The sequence below is a fragment of the Homo sapiens genome, chromosome 7 (genome assembly GCF_000001405.40).
Source record: "Homo sapiens chromosome 7, GRCh38.p14 Primary Assembly".
Lineage (NCBI taxonomy): Eukaryota > Metazoa > Chordata > Mammalia > Primates > Hominidae > Homo > Homo sapiens.
In genome coordinates, this window is record NC_000007.14 from 84,311,761 (window position 1) to 84,337,603 (window position 25,843).

General features: G+C 32.4%; 1 protein-coding gene across 2 annotated transcripts in view, besides 1 other annotated feature; it reads right to left on the bottom strand.

Annotated features, from left to right (window-relative positions):
• The window catches only part of SEMA3A (semaphorin 3A), a 536,949-nt gene that overhangs the window by 355,984 nt on the left and 155,122 nt on the right, over nucleotides 1-25,843 (bottom strand). The gene's annotated exons all lie outside the window — the stretch shown is intronic.
• Nucleotides 24,686-24,735: an enhancer, noted in NCBI's record as "active region_26219". NCBI's record gives its function as "activates an Ori minimal core promoter by ATAC-STARR-seq in GM12878 lymphoblastoid cells {active_cell/tissue: GM12878}" and the evidence as "EXISTENCE:reporter gene assay evidence [ECO:0000049][PMID:35858748]".

Genomic DNA, 25,843 nt, shown 5'->3' on the forward strand with positions numbered 1-25,843 from the left:
AACTTATCAGTTGTGCAATTGAAACCTTTTCATAGTTAAGATTTTCTCCCTTTGCAAGTATCTCCCAATATGCATAATAATTATTTTTTGAGATTACAGACAATTGTAATGAAGTGAAAACACAAGTTTATAAAGTGCTTTCCAATTTTGCAAATATGAAAACCCATAATGCTTAATATTGGGCAAAGGTAAATTTTCATGTATTTAAAATATTATGGGGTGACGCCACCAAAACAAAGAAATGACACCTAGGACATCAGAGGACCTACAATACCTCTGTATCATCTCGTCTTATACTGCCTCTAACACAGGCTGAAAATAAATGTAATTGGCCATGAATGTGTATGGCATCTATCTTTTAAGTAAGCAACTTCCAAACCTAATTTTTTGTTGATGGTCACTAGAGTAGAAACCTGAAACTCAAAATTTTATCATTTTTATTTTTCAGTGAGATCATAAAGAATATACAAATAGAAAATTAACATATGTGTCCTTCATTTAAGATTCTTTAGGAAAATTGCTGCCTTAAATAAAGTTCTTAGTGCCTTTTTCAGCAGACTCTACATCAGCCTGGACAAATTTCTTGGGACAGTTTTGGTTCATGAAAAGGTCATGAAGAAAGGCCCAGTGGTAAAAGATCATCCCTGAAGACTTTTAAAAAAATTACACTGAAACAACATTTCCCTTAGAAAATAAACAGAAATTCTATAAACTATCATACAACTAAAATAACCTGGAGCTTAAATGTTTGAGTTTATTCATACATTAAGATCTTGTAAACTTTCATATATATGTATTTTATAATATATACACATTATTTACATGTATATATACCTTATGAAACATACAGTATTAAATACAAAATACATATTCACAACATATATGCATATGTACACATTTGTGTGCTTGTACACACACGCGTGTACACAAACACTCTTTGGAGAATCCTTATTAGTTGATTTGTATATGCTTTGCTATCATTTTAATTAGGCCTAATTAAATCATTTTAATTAGGCAACCTTTGAATCTAAATCACCCAAGTGCCCAAGTGTTCAGTACTACCAACGTTTCTGGAGTCCCTATTTCTTTCAGAGGATATTTTGGTGTTGTTTTATATATATATATATATATATATATATATATATATATATATATATATATACACACACACACACACACACACGTACACACATATATGTTACATATTGTATATAATATACATTATACATGTGTATATAGATGTGTATGTATATTATATATGTAGGTATACATACACATATATAAGTGTATATATATGTATAATATATATACTATATAATATAATTGTTTTCATTAAGCCATGATTTACTAGCAGTTAGAACTGCAACTTACACTGGTCATTTTCTTTTAAAATAACATAGTGAAATTATTGGAAAGACTTAAAGCTGTCATTGATATTGCTAGAAAAGTTCCAAATTTAAAATATTTCCCTCTCTTTCTCTTCTCTCCATCCATCTCGCCTTCCATTTTTCTCTCATGAGAGGCTGGGAAGATGTATATATATGTATTATATACGTGTGTATATAATACATATATATATATGTATATGTGTGTGTGTATATATATATATATATATATATATATATATATATATATATATATATATAAACTATACGTGACTCCTGATAAGAGAGTCTTTCTTGGCTACAGTTATGAACCTTGATACAATCACTATTTTGGAACCTTCCTAATGTTTGCACTGTCTCCTATTCTAAAATTATTTGCAGTATAGTTTTATTATTCTTCTCTTTGAAATATTATGTATGAAATATTTCTCTTTAATCACACTATACACTTGACTCTAATTACATCATGCATTGGTATTTGTCATTACTTTTTGAGAATATCAGCTTGATGATTTTAAATACTTATTTTTTTCTGAAGTTCTGTTGTCATCCTAAGCGACAGAATCCAATTTTGAAAGTAAAACAGCTAAAATCATAGGAAGAGTAAAATTGTACTTCTATAAGCCCTCTCACGTAAGCTATTTGTTTTGTAATTCTGTGAAAACAAAAATATTGACTCATAGTTCTTTGGGAATAAATCAAGTTAATTACTTAGTTTCCTCCTCTGTGGTCTTAATCATTTTAACAATAGGCTTTCATTCTTTACATTATCTGATAAGAAACTGGTATTTTTTTCTTCTTCAGTTGGATGGCACCATATACAGTTTTACACTTAAAGTAATAGATAAAACTGTGCTCATTGAATGAGTTTATGATAGCAAGGTCTTGAAGTGTATGCCCAAATGTGACTTATGGTGAGTGAAAATGGATTATCATTTTACAAATATAATACTCAACATTTTTACCCTTTCTATGTGTGTATGATAGCTTCTCAAATTCATTCTAAAATTGGTCTATATCCTAGACATTTTAATAGTCTGATGTCTATAAAATCCTCTCAGAATTCAGTCAGTGAGTCTATCTAGTTTTGCAATTAGATAAAGACATAACATTTTAATTAAGGCAGAGATTGTCATAATCAATGATTTAGTTCTTTGGTAATATCAGAGACATAAACATTACAAACAGACATCCGTGCAATAGGATTACACTTGCCACACCACTGATTTTATACTTAGTCATATGACATGTAGTGTAATGGGACATGACTGCAAGTAACCTGTGCCACATCTGAGCAGAAGCTTTAAGATCCAGCTCATTGTTCTGCTCTTGCTCTTTTCTTTCTGCCATAAGACTAGTATGTCTCAGATTGGGGTTGGTTCTTCATTTTAGAATGATGGTGCAGAGCCAAAGCTGTCCATGATAGACATATAATGTGTGCAATATATAAACTTTGTTGTAATAAGCTATATAGATAGATGTTGAGATCATTTGTTACCATAGTACGACTTATTCTAGACTCACTGAACTATGCAATAGAAAGTGCACAGATGCAAAAGGCATATAGAAGATAGCATATCAGAGACAATAGTCACTTTTGCTCAATCAAGCAATGCTTGTTTTAGACAAGATTGATTTTATACTGTGTCTGCCTTAATACAGCAAGAATTTGAGGAAATTGCCAGCTAAGACTCGATTAGAAAGTCATTTTTTCAAGTAAAAGCTGGTTTTCTTTAAATATAAATGGGAGGAAAACAATGAAAAACTAATGAGGAAAGTAATTTGATTTGTTTTAATCTCATAATAAATCCAACATAGTACTATAAAATCATGAAGAATAAATAACACATTAACTGAAAATATTATCTGGAGAAGCTTTTGGTTTGCTACGAATAATTTTCTACTCACTGTTCTAGCTGGTGGAATGAGATCAACAAGTCAATCATTTCCAGAAGGGTAATTAACCTTACCAATATCAAACTCCAAAAGATTAAACATTGTATCAAGTAGAAATTTAAAGATTATAAATGTAATCAGTAAATTTGTCAGATCACTGAACAGGTATGATACGAAATAGCAGACGATTAGGCTGGAGAGGACATGAAATATTCTCCTCCAGATTTTTTTAACTCTTGAAAATCTTAGTTTCATTAATGACACTACAACTGCAGGCACAAACCCCATGAAGGAAAGACCACAATATATAAGAGTCTACACATTTTGTATTTCTTCTTGGATGATCGACACAATAACAATACGCAGGATTTTGAGCTCTATTTTTAAAATAGCAGGTATGATTATTAAGTCATATAATCATTGTATAGAAACAAATAAAAAATCATCTAGATGGTCTCTGGTTAAAAACAGACTTCAAATAGTTTATCTCTTTCTAAACTAATTATGTAAGAAATCTTTGGTGACTTAAATCTTTCTCAGATTTCATCCTCTCTTAAAAAAAAGATGAAACTGATAAATGCAATAAACTACATATTCTTGTCCTAAATAACTAAATCTAGCAAATGTTTCAGTAGACATATGGTTAAGAATTTCTGAGGAGGGGCAGCAAAAAAATTCTTCATAAAATTTTATGCAAAAACTTATTTCAATTACATTCAAATAGATTACTGTGATAACTAGGTTTTATATTAAGATGTTTTGATGCTATTTAATTTTAACTACAAATTCACTCGATAATCTGATTATTAATCTAAATATATGTATTGGATACAATTGTAGGGATTACTCTTTTTCACATTTTATGATTTTATGTACTTTTTGTATTACTAATATATATTTTTTCTTTTTAAAATTCTGTCTTTCTTCCTCTAATTTTATTTTCTTTTCTCTTTTGTTATTTAGAAAAAGAATGGGAGCAGTGGTGCACATCTGTAGTCCCAGCTACTCACGAAGTTGAGGCAGGAGGATTTCTGGTGCCCAGAAGTTCACTTGAAGGCCTGCCTGCACAATATAGGAAGACTCTATCTCAAAAAAAAAAAAAAAAAAAAAAAAAAAAAAGTGCTCCCTGTTTTCAAACTAAACTTCATTTATCGTCTTTTTTCATTTTAATTTGAGAGAAGTTAACTGTGATAAAATTTCTCAAATTAGAAAGACCACTGGTTAATTTATTATGTATAATTTTTAAGTTGCAGTATAATTATTGTAACCAAATTAAATCCAAAGTAAGCACCAATATAAAGAGTTACTTGGAAATAAATTAGTTAATATTTTCAAGTAACGATACTTTAAAATCCTTAAAATGAAAAAAAAAGAGTTATTTCACAATGCACAGAACAAATGTACACAAAGTAAAAATTCACTTACAAATATACAAAAAACTCCTTAGTTTTTGGATCATACATAGTATATTACCACCCTATGAAGTCCACCATTAACAAGATAAAAGAGGTGCTATAAGTCTATATATTAAAATTATGCTTGGAAGCATTAAGAGAGTAGATAGAGATAGAAAGAGAAAGAGAGATTTACCATTTAAGAGCTCCTGTGAATCTTCTCTCCTGTTACTTGATGATATTTTTATAAAGTGGATTTTTTTATCTTCCATAATCACATTCTATTACTTTATTTTAAAGCTATAATCCAGAAGCAGATTTTTTTTTCCAAAACTGTTAGTGGTCCAAGAAAATAAAGGACAAGGAGAGGTTGCGGGGCGCCCACAATCAAGCCGATTAAACTGCAGGATCTGCGGTTTGTCAAAAACCTTTTTGCTGCTTCACATTTTCTAAAAATGGAAAAGGTGAAGCTTTCACAAGTAGCAGGCTCCAAATAAACCAGTACGCCCAGCACAAAGCTTGTGATAACAGCAAAAACATTTTTTTTTTCGCACATTAGGAAATTATACTATTAGCTGGTACCCATCATCATAATAGGGCACTTCTCCATATTAACGTGAGATTTGGCTTATGGACCCTAAAAACTCTTTCTATCCCTCAGGCTAAATTTGTCCCAAAGAAGCATAGTCACAATGTAGCCTTGAGGGACTTTTATACAAAACTTATGGGAGTATACAGATTCTTTCCTTGGAAGGGAAAAATATAAAACAAAACTGGGTCACTAATGGTGATTGTTAGTACAGTAAAACTGAGAACACTCCTTTACTTTTTCTCCTACATTTTATTTTCTGTTTCACTCTCTGATTTTCTACAGATAAAAGTACTGTGTGTAGAGAATAAAATATGGACTATATGATAGTCACACATGATGCTATGTATCAGTGACAGCATACTCTATCAAAATTCATTTATTTCTGTCCATCACCCTATCTAGGTGTTGAAGTAAGTCTAAGGCTTTTTATATGTGTGTGGAATAGAGCTTTATCATAAGATAGCTTCCTTCTTTTTATATTTTAACTTATATTTTTACAAAATCTTTTCTTACCTAAATATCACTATTTCTCAGCTTAAAATATTAAAAACAAATATAACATGATTTTATTGATATTATTCTTCATTTTTCCAGGCATCTGCTTTTCTTATTCTAAAATTTGTGGTTTATTTCACATTCACCATACTTGACTATTCCTTGTCTCAACATATTTCATCAGCTATTGTGGTTGTTGAGTTGCCAATAAATTATTTAACTGAAATAACTGTTCTCTGGTGGACAGCATTTCTTAGGAAAAACTCCATGAAAATGAAACTACTTTAGGAAGTCTTGAAAATGCAAAACAGTATTAAAAATATCTGATTTCTGGGTAAGCTTTGAAAAAAATATGATTTAAGGTATATTTGTTTCTTAAAATTCAATTTATCTAGAGACAACTGGTGTATTGTTATGCCATAAAAATAGCATGAATAATAAAATAAGCAAAAGAAACAAACAAAAAGAGTTGTCCATAAAATGTTTTTAGGTCATATCCAGGCCTCCATTTTTTATCCATTAAAATGAATAAACAATAACAAATTCTTAGGCAGTTAGTACAATATTGCTCTTTTTTAACATTTAAAATAAAAGAAAAACATGCACTTAAAAATAAAAATATACATTTTTATATTTAGTACCATGATTTCTTTAGCTATTACATGTTAATACCAAATTGATAATCACCAACTGTTAATAGTGATGATTTGTGATGATAATTTTGAAACACAGTTTAAATAAGGAAACCATTAAACGTTCTGTATTTGCAACTTGTGTGAATAAATGATTTCTTGGTTTTTTTTTTTTTTTTTTTTTTTGAGACGGAGTCTCGCTCTGTCGCCCAGGATGGAGTGCAGTGGCGGGATCTCGGCTCACTGCAAGCTCCGCCTCCCGGGTTCACGCCATTCTCCTGCCTCAGCCTCCCAAGTAGCTGGGACTACAGGCGCCCGCCACTACGCCCGGCTAATTTTTTGTATTTTTAGTAGAGACGGGGTTTCACCGTTTTAGCCGGGATGGTCTCGATCTCCTGACCTCGTGATCTGCCCGCCTCGGCCTCCCAAAGTGCTGGGATTACAGGCGTGAGCCATCGCGCCCGGCCGATTTCTTGGTTTTATACTCAATGAGATTGATAGAACAGAGCTGATGGATCAGTGGGCATAAAAAGCCTTTCCTGTACACTTATATTGCTCAATAATATTTTTCAACAGCCACTCTTATCTTGTGACTTGGGTGATAATATGCAATCCCATCATACCCAGATTATACATTTAGGTATCATCTTGGGAATGCATTGCTCAATGTATTTATGTAAATGGCTATCACAAATGATATAAAGTCACCAGATAATGCAAATAAACAAGGCCAATGAAACAGTAACCTTAATTTCAAGGGACTTATTGTCTCCTAATATACTACATAGATGTTGATTAGTTTAGCAATTTGTCATGTATCAGGCACCAAGGCGCAGAGGTAAGAATAACAGCAGCTACTATTACTGGACATTTATTATAATTCAAGGACTGTTCAAAATGCCTAATACCTATTGGTTATTTTAATACTTAAAACATTTCAGTGAGTTTGTTATTTTAAATTCACTGTACAGGTAAGAAAATGGAGGGAGAGAAAGCTCAATGAATTTGGATAACCAGTGACAATATTAGAAAATTATTCGACCTGATTGAAAAGATTCAGATCTTAATTAGGAGGTTCTGTGGCCTTTGCATCAATGTGATCAGGAATATTTAGAGGGAAAAGGAAAGCTGGAAGAGTCAATAGACCAGAGTGCTCAGCTCATTGGTGCTAGGCTCTAAGAAAGGGCAATTTTTGTAAAAAATGCAAATGCATTTTTGTTGAGTAAGTCTGGTGCACCAAACAGGAAGGGGGAAGGGGGTAAAGAGGTAGATTATATCCAGGATTTACTTCAGTGGCATAATAATTTCCTTAACTTCATCAGTAAAAGTTACTAAGAATCCCAAGGCTTATTAGCCAGGAGATTCACAGACCACCAAGAATTCCATGTAAAATTCACCTGCTAGATGAACTTGCATTGGAAATTTTCTTAAATAACATTTAACTAAAGATTGGCATTTCCTTCATTTATAAAAATAGATAACAAACCACAGTGGTATTAGCAATATCTGTGACATTATCACCAAAATATATTGCAGATATTTTCATATCACAATATACTTCTTTTGTAAATCTTAAAATCTCATTTATACTCATAACTTTTAAAAAGTTGTGTTATTAACAGGTCTTTCACTAGATCCTCTTATTTAACGATTTAAATGAAAAGCACATGTATTGCTAAATCACAAATTTGTGTTTTTCAATATTTTTATAATTTTCACAATATAATGGATTTTCCTTGTTAACACTATATATTTTATATTACGCATTTAAAAATCACCATTCTAAGAAGTGGTTCAGAGAATTAATTCACTACACTGCCAAAGACAAGAAAGTAAATGATTTCTTTTTGCTAAACCCAAAGTAGGAGCCCAACTGATAGCAAGGACTTCAGTTGAATCACTTCTCTGTTACCATATCTGACACTGTCACACTTCTGTTTCTTATTTTCTGGGCCCACACTATGATTATGATAATGGAAGCACTGATTCCCTTGACCACACATCAAGATAATTTGGTAATAAATTTAATATGGTTAGTCTTAATAATACCTTACAGGGTATATATATTATAATCTCCTTCCTTCCATAAGAAAATAATTTTTTGTCTCTGGGTATTATAATTTATTACCTTTTTTGTCCATCTTAAATTAATAATCTATGTATAGGCTTTTTGCTTACTCTGTTAGGATATAGTTAAAATAATATGTTTCTTCCAGTACAATGAAAAAGTTAAGTTTCAGCAGGAATTCCTCCAAAGAATTTCTAAAAGTTTATTAAAAAAATCTAAGTAGTTGTTTCCTATGCTAGCCTAATCATATACTTTATATTGCTAGCATCAACTAATAATATTATTGAATGCATGTAGTTGGAAATGTAAAATTATTTATAAAAAGTAAAAGTGAAATACAATTTCATTTGCAAAATAAACGAACAGTTTAAGGTATCTTTGTTAGGTCATTTTGTTCACAGAAGGGAAGTTTTAGTGTACTTGAGAAATAAATTATTTTTTTTTTCTGCACATGGGTTTATTTCACAGTAAAAATATAAACTATGTACAATTGTTGAATTGCAATTATTATACAATGTGGGATTGTCATGATGTAGTGAGAGAGCAGGAGATTTGAAATCACATGAAATTTCTCCAAATTACTTGCTGTGTTACACTAGTGCAGGTTGTCTAATCTCTCTGTGCCTTCCTTCTTTCTTTAGTAAAATGAGTATCATTGTGATTTTCATGTAAAATTATTGTTAAGATGAAATGATGAGGTATATAGAAATGTTTGACTCACTGGTGTGTTAAATATATACTGGCCATCAATATTGGTGAATTACCTCATATTAGTCCAATATGTATTTAGCTGAATTTCATTCTTTCTTGTTGACTTTAGGAAAGAGTTCTTATTTGATAATAACAAGTTTGATTACAATCACAGTTTTCGAAATTTTAGTTTACCTCGAAAAAATCAAGTGATTTGGACACAATGTATGGAGGAGAACACATAGATTGTAAACCTAAATCCAGTTGATAATTCTAATCCCATGTCATAATCATTAGTTCTCTTTTGGTTAACTCTAACTGTATCATTACAGATTTAACTCAACAAATATTTATTCATGAAAATTGCTCTTTATTGTATGTTTTTCCAAGTTACATTTACATGATTTGTGAAACAAAATGAACTATAATTATCACTAAAATTAAAATGTTAGGATACTAGTTTATGAAAGTGCAACAGAGACTCAATATAACACAATCTCTCTGCACAGTAAAATCAGCAATAAGCATAAGAAAGTAAAATACACATGATCTAAGACCAGACTGCCTGGGTTGATATAATTGCTCTGCAACTAACCAGTTATGTGACCTTAAGTTTAATTGTATGTAAAATGATACTAATACATAGCAATACTAGGTACTAGTCCATTTTCATATTGCTATGAAGAAATACCAGTGGCTCACGCCTGTCATCACAGCACTTTGGGAGGCCAAAGCAGGCAGATCATGGGGTCAGGAGATCGAAACCATCCTGGCTAACACAGTGAAATCCCGTCTCTACTAAAAATACAAAAAATTAGCCGGGCGTGGTGGCGCACGCCTCTAGTCTCAGCTACTTGATAGGCTGAGGCAGGTGAATCGTGTGAACCGGGGAGGCAGGGGTTGCAGTGAGCCAAGATAGTGCCACTGCACTCCAGCCTGGCCGACAGAGCGAGACTACGGAAAAAAAAAAAAAAAAAAAAAAAAAAAGAAGAAGAAGAAGGAGGAAATACCTGAGACTGCATAATTTATAAAGAAAAGAGGTTTAATTGACTCACAGACTCACAGTTCCGCATGGCTGGGGAGGACTCGGAAAACTTATCATGGTGGAAATCACCTCATCACAGGGTGGCAGGATGGAGAATGAATGCAAGTAGGGGAAATGTCAAACACTTACAAAACCATCAGATCTCATGAGAACTCACTCACCATCATGAGAACAGCATGGGGGAAACTCCCCCCATGATTCCATTACCTCCCACCAGGTTCTGCCCTTGACACATGGAGATTATGAGAGTTACAATTCAAAGTGAGATTTGGGTGGGGACACAGAGCCAAACCATATCATACTACTTACTCCATAGTGTTGTGAGAATTAAATGAATTAATACTTGTAGAACAAATGTCTGTCACAAGCATCCTACAATAAAATACACTTATTTTCTCACTGTTATCATCATTCATATTTTAATTATGGATATGGCTTGGCTATGTCCCCAACCAAATCTCACCTTGAATTGTAATAATCCCCATGTGTCAAGGGCAGGGCCAGGTGGAGATAATTGAATCATGGGGGCAGTTTCCCCTATGCTGTTCTCTGGTAGTAGTGAATAAGTTTCACAAGATCTGATGGCTTTGTAAATGGGAGTTCTCTGCACAAGCTCTCTCTCTTGCCTGCTGCCATGTAAGATGTCCCTTTGCTCTTCCTTCATCTTCTGCCATGATTGTGAGGCCTCCCCAGCCATGTGGAACTGCAAGTCATTTAAACTTCCTTCCTTTATAAATTATAAGTCTCAGGTGTGTCTTCATTAGCAGCGTGAGAACAGACTAATACAATCATTTTAAAGAAAACATAACTTTTTAGAAAGATACAAAAATAGTATTTGAGGATTTAAAAAATGTGAAATCACATCAGTCATGTTTAAAGTCCATACAGGCTTCCTGAAGGACTTTGCATTTGAGAAGAGGGGCTTCCATTTCTAATACTGAGGGAGAATAGCATGGCAGGTATGTGTGTATTCAGTAGAGCCACACTGCCTAGATTGGAAACTTGATTCTACCACTGCATTCACTGGACAAAATTTGGCAAACAACCACAACTGTGGCCTTCATTTTTTAACCTGTAAAGTGAGGAAAATAATAGTATACCCTTTGTCAGTGTATAATGAAGATTAAATCACTATTTAAATGAACATGATCAAATACTATGATTAAATGCATAATAAATGCTCCATAAGTATTAACAACAATGCTTTCTTTAACGTTCTCTGAAGATTAGCTATCAATAGATTGACTTTAATTAAACTAATTGTGCGTTTTGTTCTATAGTGTAATATTTATGTCAATCAAAAGTATCAATACTCAAGAGTACTTGATTTCCTCTTCAAAAGATGCAATTCACTGTGGTAGGGTTGCTAAAGTTTGCTAATATTCATGTTAGCAAAGCTCTTAATCTACATGTTTTTTGTCACTAATCACTACATAATCAAGTGTGCCACATATGACAGACAGACCGCCTTCAGCTAAAGCAGAACGTAAGTACAATTCCTTTCTTATAAAGAAAACACTTCTCTGATGAAGAGAAATCATGTCATTTCCTGAGTGGAAGTTCACAAGGGGGTACTTGCAATGTACAAAGAGTGAAAACGAGTAAATTTTGAGTGGAAACATAGGGAAAACTCTGAAAAAATAGTATAAAATTAAAAAAAAATGCTTCCATGCTAAATATGACCCCTTCTTACAATGAACTATAGTTCTTTAAAAATGGAAAGCTTATTCTCTGATTATATTCTGTCATAAATCATATGGACAGATGTGCGCCTTAGTCATGCATCATGGTTGATTACCATCATTCAAGGTTTATGCAACACAGGCTAAGAATTTTATTTTTTAATTTAGAATTTAATTTTCTGATATTATAACAGACAGTAATATCCCATGAATTTTTCTTTGCTGTAGTACATCTGCACAATAGAAATATTTACATCAAACATCTTTCTTTGTGACTTTAAAATCATATATAAATCTGTTTATTCTCTTCTAGAGAGTAGCATATTTTAGTTTTTAAATGTGGTTTACAATAAAGTGTTTGAAAGTTTGTAATTATGTATTACCTTTCCTAGCTGTTAAAATAAATGGTAAATCAACACAATGTCAAAACGTGTAAATAAATAAAATTATCTGAAGAACTAGTGTTTATCAGTGTGATGGCAGAGCCAATTTAAATTTTTGGCACAAAGTCAAGGATTTTAAAAAATTACAGTGTGTGTGAAGACCTTTCAAATATTGTTGAGCTACAGCAGCCTGACTTAGGTGGGTGGGATAAATCCATAGGATGGTTTCCTTCAAAAGCAAACTCTATAGGACCAGAGTAACCTATTGGAGCTTCCATTCAAATCTTGTTCATTAGTGCAAGTCAGAACTGTTACACAGAGAAGATTAACATGAGATTACTCAACATTTCTATTAGATAGAGTCCAGATTTGACACTGGTCATGGATATAAAGTTAATGCTGAATTGGCTTTGGAATTCCATCTCATAGTTATCTGCCAGCTCCAGTGAATGAACAAAAACAAGATTGTCATAAAGCAAAAAGAAAAGAACATATGGCTGAAACAAAACAAATGCTGTTTTGGCTGATAGATAGCAAAATGGTAATTATATATACATTGGCAATCATATTTTATTAAACTAGAACTCTAGATAACAAAATATGTAATTTTTTTAACTTTAACAAGAAAATTCAAAATAATTTCTGAATTTATTTTTCAAAGAGACTTCAATTTATTATGAAGCACATGGTCTTAAAAATCATTTTCTAGTCTTGTGAAAAATACATACCAAAATATGCTTAGCTGAATAGACTACAATATATAGGTGAAAATGGAAAAAAAAGACCAGACTACAGTATAATCATTAATCATAAAAATAACTTCATTCTTTCAACATTCAACAAATACTTATTGATTGATAAAATGTATAAGGCATGTGTGGCATTGTAGAAAACACTATAATTCGGTAGATGCAATCCACTCCATCCGTCAAAGACCTTACGTTCAAAAAGAAAGACAAAAAGATACTTTATAAAATATGAAGCATGAAAACAAGTGGTATATCTAACAGAATAAATGCTATATATACCATAACTTATGTTTGTCTTTTTAAATAATAGACCTACAGACCTGTCACAATGGAGAATGTATATATCTCTATCTATCTATCTATCTATCTATCTATCTATCTATCTATCTATCATTTTAAAACAATTATTTAGTTGGGTCAAGTATGGAGCAGAGTTCTGAACTCTGAAGTTAAGGCAATGGATACATGAAGTTCCTGCTCCTATAAAACTAACATTCAAGTGAAAAGAAATAGACAATCAACTAATCAATCAAACAATCAAATTATGATTTTAAAAAATACTACCGAAGTGAGGCAAAAAAGAGAGTGATGAGTGGTGCTGTTTTAGATCGGAAGGTCAGGGAGAACTTCTCTGGAAAGGTCACATTTGAACAAAGATCTGAATAAAGACAGAAGATTTGCCACAGGATATCTGAATCTGAGACAGAAGAGACTCAAAGTATACAGGGGGAAGTATTCTTCTAGGAGTAGCAAGGAAGGCCATGTGGCTGCAGTGGTCCAAGCTAGGTGACAGGTGGCAAAGGAGATCAGCGATATATGAGGGAGTATAACCACCAAGAGTCTTGTAGACCATCAAGGAATAGGCAGGCCAGGAGGAACCTTGTATTTGTAAGGTTTTGAGCAGAGGAGTGATATGATTTGCCCCATTTTATTTTATTTTAGATAATAAAATATTTAATTAGCCAGTAAAGATTGAATATATTCAAGGAATACAATGATGTTATTCAATATACATATACATTGTTTAATGATTATCACAAATTAACACATCCATCACCACTCGTGCTGTAATTTAAATCACCAGAACTTGTTCATCTTGTAAGAGAACATTTGTATCCTCTGGCCAACATCTCCCCATTTCCCCACCCCCAACACTAGTATCCACTGTTCTGCTCTCAGCTTCTGTAAGTTTACCTTTTCAGATTCCACATGTAACTGAGATCATACAGTATTTGTCTTTCTCTGTCAGGCTTATTTCACTTATCATAATGTCTTTCAGGTTCATCCATGTTATAAAAATTGGCAAGATGCTCTTCTTCTTTCTGGCTAAATAATATCCCTCTGTGATCTGGCGTACTTCAAAAGAACCACTCTGGCAACATGGTGGAGTATGGATTATAGAGCTGCCTGTGCAAGCATGGAGATAATTTAGAGAGCTTTTACAATAGTTTAGAGGAAAGATGCATGTTGGTTGCTTATGCAAGGGCATTCATAGTGATAATCACTAAATAAGTATTTCTGATCAAATTCTAAATTGATTAATTCTATAGTATAAAGAGACAAATATAAACCAAAGTTAAGTGTTCTATGAAGCATAAACAATAAATATTTTCTTGAATTATTTGCTTTTGACTGATTTGGGTTTTTGGATATATAACTAAAACCTATGGGTAAATCACAGTTTCACTGTGGAGTTACAGAAAAGATACAGAATGATTAATTTTATTTTGTGAAATTTCCTTGTAAAAAATTGAATTTATAAGTGATATGTATTTAATAAATATTTTATGTATATTCATTTGATGATTATTTTTATTCAGTTTTGTGAAAATTTATGTGGCATAAAAATTTATCCTTGTGTTGAAAATAGTCTAGAAGGCTGTTACAGGCACAATATCATAGACCTGTTTTTAAAATGATAGCTTGTCTGACAAAAACAAACAATAGGGAAAAGACTCCCTATTCAATAATGGTGCTGGGATAGCTGACTAGCCATATGCAGTAGACTGAAGCTGGATCTCTTCCTTACATCATATACAAAAATTAACTCGAGATTGATTAAAGACTTAAATGTAAAATGCAAGACTATAAAAATCCTGGAAGACAACCTAGGCAATATCATCATGAACATAGGCATGAGCAAAGATTTCATGGCAAAGAAACCAAAAGCAATCACAACAAAAGCAAGAATTGAAAATGGGATCTAATTAAACTTAAGAGCTTCTGCATAGCAAAAGAAACTAACAGAATAAACAGACAACCTACAAAATACTTGCAAACTAGGCACCTAACAAAAGTCTAATATCCAGCATCTATAAGGAACTTAAATTTATAGAAGAAAATAATAGGTTATCTGAAATATGCAAAATCTGTTGATGAGTTTATTGCTACTCTTAATAGATTCACAATATTTTCAGAGAGGTGAACATTTGCCTATGAGAGAATTCCAAAAGATCTTTTGAAATAATTTACATAAAATAACTTAATTCTAGGCCATTAGGTATGTTCAATGACAGTCAGAAAGCAGGTAGTCAGTTTTCATTGGAATAATCAGGGGGCACTTCATGTAAAATAAAGTAGTCATGATGGGGGAAAGGGTGAAAAAAATGCTAGGAAGGAAAGGAGAAAGAGAGAAAGGGAGGTAGTGGGAGAAAGAAAAGCAGGTAGGCAAAGGTAGTGGGAAATAATGAACCATTGATATATGCCAAGAATTATACCAGGATTTTTTCACATATAGCAAGGTACTATCAAAGAGCATGTGTAATTTCTAACAGAGAATGCATGAGAGCATGAAAAATTATTCTTGATTTTTATAAGATCTCTCAGGATATTGTATATGAGATCTTTAAAAAAATCTATAAAATTATGAATTGTATATTTTAACCATCTTTTTTTACAGAATGTTTAATTTTTCAAAGTAGCATTATTTTAAACTAGCTCCAATTTTATAACTTTCACCACTGCTAGCTAATGCAAGTAATGTGGCATTTCATCAGAGATTTCAAGCATAAAAGCATGCAAATGATGCAAGCTTCAATGTAGAAAAGCAGCTATGGAACATGGTCTCTTTGATAAATGGATAATCATAAGGCTGTTTTCCTTTTCGCTAGATTTTTTAGCCAGAGTTAAAATGTAAACTAGGATTAATGGCAACAATATAATGTAATATTTGCATATATTCTCCACACAATTAATCAAACAGAAAGATAATTTATAGTAGTTCTAACTTATTGGGATAAAGGTTAGATTACGATTTCGAGTTTATGAATTAAATCTTTATAAGTGCTTCCATTTACCTTTCAATAATCAATTTTGTTGGAGTGCATATAATTTCTTTTGTACAAATAAGTTTGCTTGTAAATTATTTTTTAAAAGCCAGTGTAATCTTTAGGAATATTACTCAGAAAACCCAAAATGAATGAGGACTGGAAATTGGAGAAGTCAGTTATTATTTATGGCAGACCTATTTGGGAAAAACCATTTTAGTGTTCTCATCTTTACATTTCATAATACTCATTTGCATTGCCACAATACCATTTGATAAACATACGTAAACATGAATGACCTCTTTAACACCATGTCCTACAGAAAGTTCTGACATAACATAAACGTTCAGTTCTTGAAAGAAAGAAACAGTCAAAGAGAAAGAAAATGAAAGAGCAGGAGATAGAGGGGAAGAGAGACAAAATAGACAGTAACTTTTAGAATAAGAAGCTTCTTATATGAGAAAAATATCTTTGAAAAACGCAATGTTGCTTGTAATGCATAAAATATTTGAAAGCTTCTCTTTTGATGAGATAGACTCTTATGTACATTGAATCAGTCGATTATAACTGATCTATTTCGACAACCTATGGTAAATTTATACAGAATGAAAATGTCTTTTATTGTATTGACTTTTATTCATTTTGACTCATTTCCTTCCTTTGTTCATTCAACAAATATTTTCTAAGGATTTGGGGCCTCTACAAGATACTACCAGAAACACAGTTGTGAATGAAATGCAGTCTCAGCAGAAAAGGAGTTCAAATTCCCATAGAAGGGAAAGACATACAAATACATGATGAAAAGAAATGCAATAATTTAAATGAATCACACACAGGGTTATACAAAGTCTCTGGGAAATAATTTCAACTTCCTCTCACATATAATTTCCTAACAGAGGTCATTTTCAACCTGGAACTTTTTATTCATTTATTTATTTATTATTGTTATACTTTAAGTTCTGGGAGACATGTGCAGAACGTGCAGGTTTGTTAAACATAGGTATACATGTGCCATGGTGGTTTGCTGCACCCATCAACCCATCATCTACATTAAAACCTGGAACTTTTAAGAAAAAAAAACCCGATTGCATCAAGCAAACGGGGATGTTGTGAAGGGGGTAAGAGAAATCAATGACATTTTGGCAGAGGTAACATTATGTATAAAGGCATGAAGGCAGTAAAACATTGAGTGTTCAAGACATTACACGTAATTTTCTGTTTCAAACCAGACATTTTAATGAAACAAGTAGGTAAAAGATGAGTTTTGAGATGTCATGCAGCCGTGTCCAACCCTTTGAATGTGAGAACCTTTTTGCTTAAATGTGGTGGTGGATATCACCACATTATGCCGGTTTATTTATTTTATTTTATGTTTTTCAGCTCATCAGCTATTGTTAGTGTTAATATATTTTATATGTGGTCCAAGACAATACTTCTCCCAATGTGGCCCACGGGAGCCAAAAGGCTGGACATGTGTGGTCATGGCAAAAGATTTGAGGAAGATTGTAATCAAAGAAGAAACATGCACATATCAAAATTTTAGGAAGGACACTCTCCCAGAGACCTAGAAGAAAGACTGAACAATTAGATCATGTGACTATTATAATATCCAGGTGAACAATAATGAGATTCTAAAATAAGATGGAGGCCGTAGTTTTGTTTACCATACCCTTATAAAATACAGTGCTACATTATATTTTCTAATTGAAAATTAAAATAAACATTTAGTGCAAAATAAGAGGGAACACAGTGTATAATTTCAAAAGCTGTGTTATTTTATATCACATACTTGCACTTCTCTTTGTGCTTTCACATGGGGTCTCTCTGGCCTTGAAATAAATTACAGTCCCACACTGCAAAATTTTATGGTATTATTTTTCTGGCCAACTTAGGGCTTGTAACTGCTGGTTTAATTGATGTGTTTCACTATTTGATTAATTCAATAATAGTGATTTTGGGCCAATCATAATAATCCATATCAGATTCCCCACACTTTTACCTAATAAGCAAAGATGAAGCATAATCTAGAAAACACAGAATCTCATAACCAATAACATAAGTAAAATAAAAGCAAGGCCAGTTATGTGCAATTTATTTTAAGGCATCACTGGCTTATACTTAGCAGAAATAAATATATTATATCCTGGATATATGTCTCGTTGCTCATTTTAACCTATATAACAAACCTGCACATGTACCCCTGAACTTAAAAGTTAACTTTAAAAAATAGATCTCATTATTAAGTATTTTCATAGTACATTTCAAAAGTGAAGTTATCTCAAAAATAAAGTATGGGTGAGAAAAATGACTTTTTAAATGTACCTCCTGAACAATTAGGAATTCTAATATCAAACTTTGAAACAATTTTAAAAAGTAACAAATTATCATATGCACTTACTTAATAAGATCTACTGACTTAAATGTTTCCAATGAAGTTCATGTGTTTAGATGAATATCATAGTAAACATTCGGAAGATATCAGTGGCAGAGATGGTGAGGACATAAAGTAGGAAGGCACATGTACATTTTCATCTCTTATCACTGGAAGGGTATTACCTAGTTTATTTTTCCTTTACCACCCAAAATAGTCATCTACAATTGACTTTCTATCACTTTTTTTCCCCCTGTGGTACATGGGATATGGTAGTTGTTTTTTATTTATTTTTTTGCATGCTTACATGACTAGGTATTTTAGAATACTACAAGCACTTTTTTTAAAAAATAATTCAACTCCTCCATGAAGCATAAGCTAATGACTGCAATGGTCCTTCCCTCATATTCTGAGATAAGAATGGTTTGGATTTTATTAAATCAAAGAGGATGAAAAGTATAGAAATGGATTATGTTCTTTATCTATCTGTTTGATAAGCATATCTGAGGGTGGCTAGCCAAGGCATTCAAGACATAAACCAATGATTCCATGCCATGGAAAGAAAGGAAAGAATCATACACTGTTAGGTTTTATAGATCAAAGTCAGTATCCTAGGTTTTATATTTGAATGTCATGACCTATGTAGAAATGTACTGAATGAAGTTTCAAATAGTCAATACCTGTGACAGATATGGTTTTCTTTTTTGAACTATTGATTGCTTTTCTGAGTAATCTCCAAATCCTACTTTGAAGCCATCCAATCTGGATCACAAAAATACGTCAAGAACTTTAGGGTATCAAAAAAACAGAAGTATCTAAGATGACTAAGGAATTTGCCAGGGGTATTTGGAAGAATTTTTGGCTTTCTTCCAAAGATTTTTTAGCTTGAAATCAAGGCTTAATATTTTATGACAAGAGCCTTCTACCTTAAACAAAGTCTGTTGAGTTTCTGCTTTTAATCCCAACCCATAATTTTATAATAAAGTTTGAAAATGAAAGATTCAGGTGATTCTAGTTACTTTAACTGTTTCAAATTCACTTAATTTTTAAGTTAAGTTTTCATTGCCCCTTATCTACAATGCATTGAAATTGTTCTTTATTACTAGCAGTTTGTGGTTTTATATGCTTCTAACTAATCATTGTTCATTATACCAAGAGAATCAGATTTCCAACTATGGTTTGATGTCATTGTGTATATACAGGACGTCCACAGGTGCCTGGAAAGCCATAAAGAAAAAGAAGGAAACCAGCCAAGACTAAAGTTTCACAGATCCAGATGTGGCTGCTGCTGCTGTTTGGGAAAAAAAAAATAACACATTTTAGACCTTGGCATTTCAGCATTACAGCTGGCAAGTAATAAGAGAGAATGAAGTCTGTGTGCGTGCATGCGTGCGTGCATGCTCCTTTTGTGGCAGAAAAGGGGGAAATGGAAGGCAGGAAAGTCCAATCTGCTGGAGTAAAATAGAAATGTGGATGAGAGCCTGTTCAACCCCACTGGCAATGAGGTATTTCCCTTTTATTAATGAAATGTTCTGGCACAGTGGAAAAATATAATTTGCATGAATGAGCACATCAATCTAAAAAAGTAAAAGTCCTGACTCCTGGTCATTTCTTTCAGCTTATTCACAAAATTCTCATAAGCAGGATTCAGTTGTCTTCCTCTTTAGTTAAGTTACTTATTTTTTACCATTATTCAGCCATATATACCCTTCAGAGAGAGTTCCAACAAAGGATCTGGAGACTACATAGGTCATTGAATCATGTGATATGTTAATATCAAGTGGCTCATAGCAGATGTTCCTATCAGAATATTACAAATAAACCCAAAATTCTAAGTCCCAACGACTCATTTCCAGAAAAAAATAACATTATATTTGCTTAATATTAAAATGTTATTAATGTGATTGTAAATTATTATGAATTATTTTTCATGTATATGTAATCTACCTCTTTTTATTTTTCACAGTGCCCATCACTGGATACACCACCAATGAAAAGAGATGTTCTTAATTCTACGAAGTCTTGGACAGTAGTCTGCAGAAATCTAAATGGCAAGACAAGTTAACATCTGTTCATTCTTTACTATAAGTCTACACTTACAGGATAAAATTGAGAAAAGACAATTTAAAATCATCCTAATCTGAAGAAGCTAATCCTTGTTTTCTTTCAGTGGCAATTTAGTGTGGTAGTTAAAAGAACATAGCTTTAACATGTGGCTGTGACGTCAATCCAAGGCACTGATAAATTGAAATATATGTGTGTGTATACACACACACACACACACACACACGTATGTATAAATCTGTGCTTTATTTAAAAAGCATAGAAGAAAAAATAATTTATTTTTTAGTTCTTACCCCAGAGTAAATATTTACAGTTCTTGACTATATTAAAACATTGAGTACCTTTATTAAGTTTACTATACTGAAATATGTTATTATTTACATGTCTTGACTCCCTACATACATATTATCAAGGTAATGACTTAACATTTCAGAGTTATGAATCATTTTATCATTTAGGATAAGAAAGAGAAATAATGCAATCTCATTCTATAAAAAGTCATGATTCCAGCTAAGACTGGTATCTTTAATAATATATCAGGACTTGATTTAGGGAGTCAATTCATTAGTTATTTAGTTACCTCCATTGATACTATTTTTGTGTAATTGCTGGTCATGATGGAGCATGTCTTATATAAGATGTGAAAAATGACAATTGTAACTTTGTACTTTTTGTGTCAAATTAGAAATAGCTTTTAAAACTTGCTGTCTTCCAAAATCCTCAGTTGAAGCACCTATCAAGATTTTCATCACAAAAAACTTTGAGATCTCCATTGATGCTCCCTAAGTTGGTGTTTTCACCTCTGCTAGATTGTACAAAATGCAACACAAGGAAGAAAGTATCCTCCACTGGCTAGTATTCCAACTCAGTAACACTCTAACTTGACCATGATGATATCGAAGATTTTCTACAACACTGACTCTAGAGTCTTTAGCCTCATCATTTACTTCTTTACCATAATGCTTAGCACACATAGAAGAAACTAAAACAAGCAAAGAAACAACACGATGAGGTGAGGAGAGTGACTTTAGTTAATAGAATGATACGAAGGAGTACTTAATTATTATTTCAAAATTTCAAACTGTTCTAGCTTGCCAGGATATACTCTACTTTCCAAAGAAAAATTGAAATGCAGAAAAATACAGTTCTAAGACAAGAAAGTAAGAACATAATCTGGTAAATGTGCTAATTTTGAAATATTTTAAGGAAGGACATTTTCAAAGGTGTAATGCCTATGAGCACTGACACATTTCTCTTTTGTTTTCAGCTTGTGACTTTTATCCAAGACATATGCTATACATACAAAGTGACTAAGTATCTGTTATAATTTAAATGAATTCTAAGCCTTGGGGCATCAGGGAAGTTATTTTTAAATTTTAAAGGGAAATTACTTTTGAATTTGCCATTGCCAGAAATTTAATCTGAATGCACTGAAAAGAAGAGATGTAGTTTTCACTTTCTGGATTGTGCTATATCCTATATTTAACAGATTTTGTCATATACTTAAAGTCCACCAAATGTACTGAAAAGTAATAGTATATATCCATGTTTCATTTTCTTACAATTGACTAAATACTAAAAACAATAGTTTTTTTCTTAAAAGTTAATCATCTAAAATGCAATAAGTCATCACAAACTAAACTTTGATCACTGCTAGTTTAAGTTCTGTCTATATAATTCCAAATCTCGGAATTGATCTTTTTAAGAGTAAATATTTTGGATTAAAAGTTTATTTTCCATTTATATATTTGCTATTCTACAAATTTTGTTTTCATAAATATATTAATAAATTTTATGTAATGAAGATTTCAGAGTAATGAAAATATTTTTATAATTAACTTCTAAAGTTAATCTCTATGTTCATAATCTATAATTTACCTCATGAATTTCAATCTAATTTCATGTAACCTGAGATGAGATTTTATGGATTAGAAAAGTTTCCAGAAAACTAGGCTACTTACAATGTATAATTACATAAATAAGAAAAATATTTTATTAAACTAATGGCTTGTAATAAAATAATTTTAGCCCTCCATCCTTCCCCTTATTTCCTGCACTCTTCCTCCACCTGTTCCCTCAATTTTCCTCCTTGCTTCCTGTTTTGCTCTTCCTTGGTCCTGGCCCTCGCTTCTCACCACCTCTGTCTTACTTCCCTATTTCTCCCCCAACCTGCTGCCTCCTGGTCACCCCCATGTTCTTTTCCCCAACCTCAATCCTCCCTTTTACTACCTCCCTTTCCACTTGCCCCCCTGCTTCTTCCCTCCTGTCTTGATCCACTTTTCATCCCTCCATCTTCTCTCTTGTTTTCCTCTCACTCACAACCCCTGCCCTCCCACCACTCCCACCCTCCCCTCCTGGTCCTGCTCCCTGGCTCTTCCCCTGGCCCTGCCTCCTCAATTTCCCCCTAAGTCCCACGCCTCATTTTCTACTTAGACTACCCCCTCATTTTCTACTTAGACTCATGCCCTCAAAAAAACAATAATGATTTTATCTTGACATTTTTTGTGAAAATCTTTCTAAAATGTGGTACAATTTCTAACATGCTGTATATATTTTCTACTATAAATGCTTTAATATTTCCTTACTGATAAAAATTCAACCTTAAAATTTTCAATTTTTTGAAATACTTTGAATCTATTCTGTAAGATAGGGAGGATAAACTCTCTAAATTACTAGAATTTCCTATTGATTTTTGTATTTTTCTCTACTATTAATTTATTATGAATGTTGGTTGCAAATAGGCTTATAAAATAGATATAATTGTACATAATTTCAATTGGTCTTGGTATAATAATGGACTACACTACTTTTATAACAAAAAACATGAGTTTTACAAATTTTGCACCTTTATTCTTCAGATATTTTGTATTTATATTTTGAGTATGAAGGGTTATTCCCTGATAAAAAATATATTTTTACATTAGCAAATATAGGTTATAGTTGTGGAAGATAATAATTTATTAGTCCAACTAAGAAATTGTGATGGGTGTGTGAGAGAGAAAGTGGGAGCAAGAGAGAGATCTATCTTAATATCTATTACATACACACACAATATGTTTAGTTTTCGCTGAAAAGCGAAGATTATGCAATTCACATTTTCTTTGGGAATTTGATCATGTTATTTTTAAATGATAGACATTTATGAACTATGGAACAGGCATCTAAGCAAATAAATTATAATTAATAATAAGAATGAACGTATGACCTTAGAGAGTGAATATACTAACTAATTTTGTTTACTGACATTATCTCAAATTTCAGAAGTGGTCTAAGGAATCCCTGCCTATTTGAAATATAATGTGGGCTACATATTTAATTTTAAATTTCCTAGCATTCACATTAAAATAAATAAATTAAAAGGTGAAAGGAACTTTAAGAGTAGATTTTATTTTACTTAATATATTAAATTATTATTTCAGTGTGTAATAATTTAAAATTTATTGAGCTATTTTACGTGTTTTTTTCTTATTGTGTCTTCAAAATCTGTCCATTTCAACTCAGATTAGCCCAGTTTAAGAATTCAGATGCCACATGTGGCTACTTGGTATTTATAATATTGGACAAGACAGGTCTAGAGTGTAGCTAAAATCCAGTAACAGCATGATCTTCTTTAAAAAATATCAGAGCACCTTCTTCCTAGACACCATATTTAGAAGAATATAAGCAGGCAACTGTCACATTTAAATATTACAATGACTATAGAAACAAACCTTCTATGAGTGCAATTAAGAGGAAACTTTTCAAAACAGAGGAGGTAATTAAGTAGAAAATGTGTGGTTAAATCCACACAAAAAATGTTGGATGGAAAGATCCTTTTCTAAACAGAAGAACACCAAACATAAAAGGAGAGGGGAGGGTCGGAAACTTAGCATAGGCAAAAATTACCATATTTACTGAATAGAAGGCCAGTTTGGCTCTGGAAAACTTCTTCTTTTTTCCCCCCAGAGAGAATGGCCACACGCCAATAGATACAGGCCTAAAATAGAGTATATACTATGGTAACCATAGTAATGAGTAGATGGAACTAAAAAAAGCTGGTCTTGGGTGAGCAGATGTTCAGTCAAAGCAAGAATGAAAACATGAACTGCATTTCACAACCTCCATTTTATCTACATACAGTAGGACAGTGTTCTATGAGCCTGTGGGAGAAATGTGCTGAAGGAGGAGGAACCAGAATGCCAGGAATGCCTTGTTATCAGTACAGGCACACAAACCTAGGTTCCAACAGAAGAATTCATCAGAAAGAAACATCCTCAAGTAGGGCTATGAGAGATTGATACATATTCCAATTACATATATATCTTCATGCATACACGTACACTTTACTAAGTAAAGTAGCATGTCTTGTAATCTTGTAAAATAGTCTGTCTAGGTTGAAGTATGAAAAAATTATGTACTATTTCTCAATTTCCTTCAGGAAGTCTAACTTAAATATAATTTTTCTAAGAATAACATGGTTATCTATATCATGCCAACACCTTCCCTAGACTTGAAGTTATTTTTGCTGCAGAACTAGATCAGTGTTGTGGTTAGGAAGGAATATTATGCAGATTGCCTGGGTTTGAATCCTAGCTTACCAGATGACTTTGGACAAGTAACTTAAACTCCTTAAGACTCAGTTAACTCACCTGCAAAACAGAATTAAATAGTGTCAATTCATAGCATTGATATGAGGATTAACATGAAGAAATTAGGAGTGTCTGGCACACAGCATTAATAAATTTTATTTATTTTTAACAATAATTCATTGTTATTTTTATGCCATATGCCAATAAATTCCCAAAGACCTGGCAAGAAAAATGTTGAAACTATGTTTTACTGTGCCTAGCACATTTTTGTTGATGCATGTGTAATATATACATAAATGCACAAAAAATGCACAGAGATCCATGTCTACATATACTTCTATATTTTCCATCCCTTAAAGCAGGCATCTTATGAGAAAATAAAGTCATACTCAAAGAAGACAGGTAGTTCTCATCTTCCAGTGTGCTATTTGGCTAACAATCCATCATTGCATTCATCTGGCAGTGTTTCAAAACATATCCCAAGCCGCAGAAGACTACTGAGCCAGAGGAGCATTGAGTCATAATTAGCTCAAGATTAAAGTTCACCAAGGAATGGATTCAAA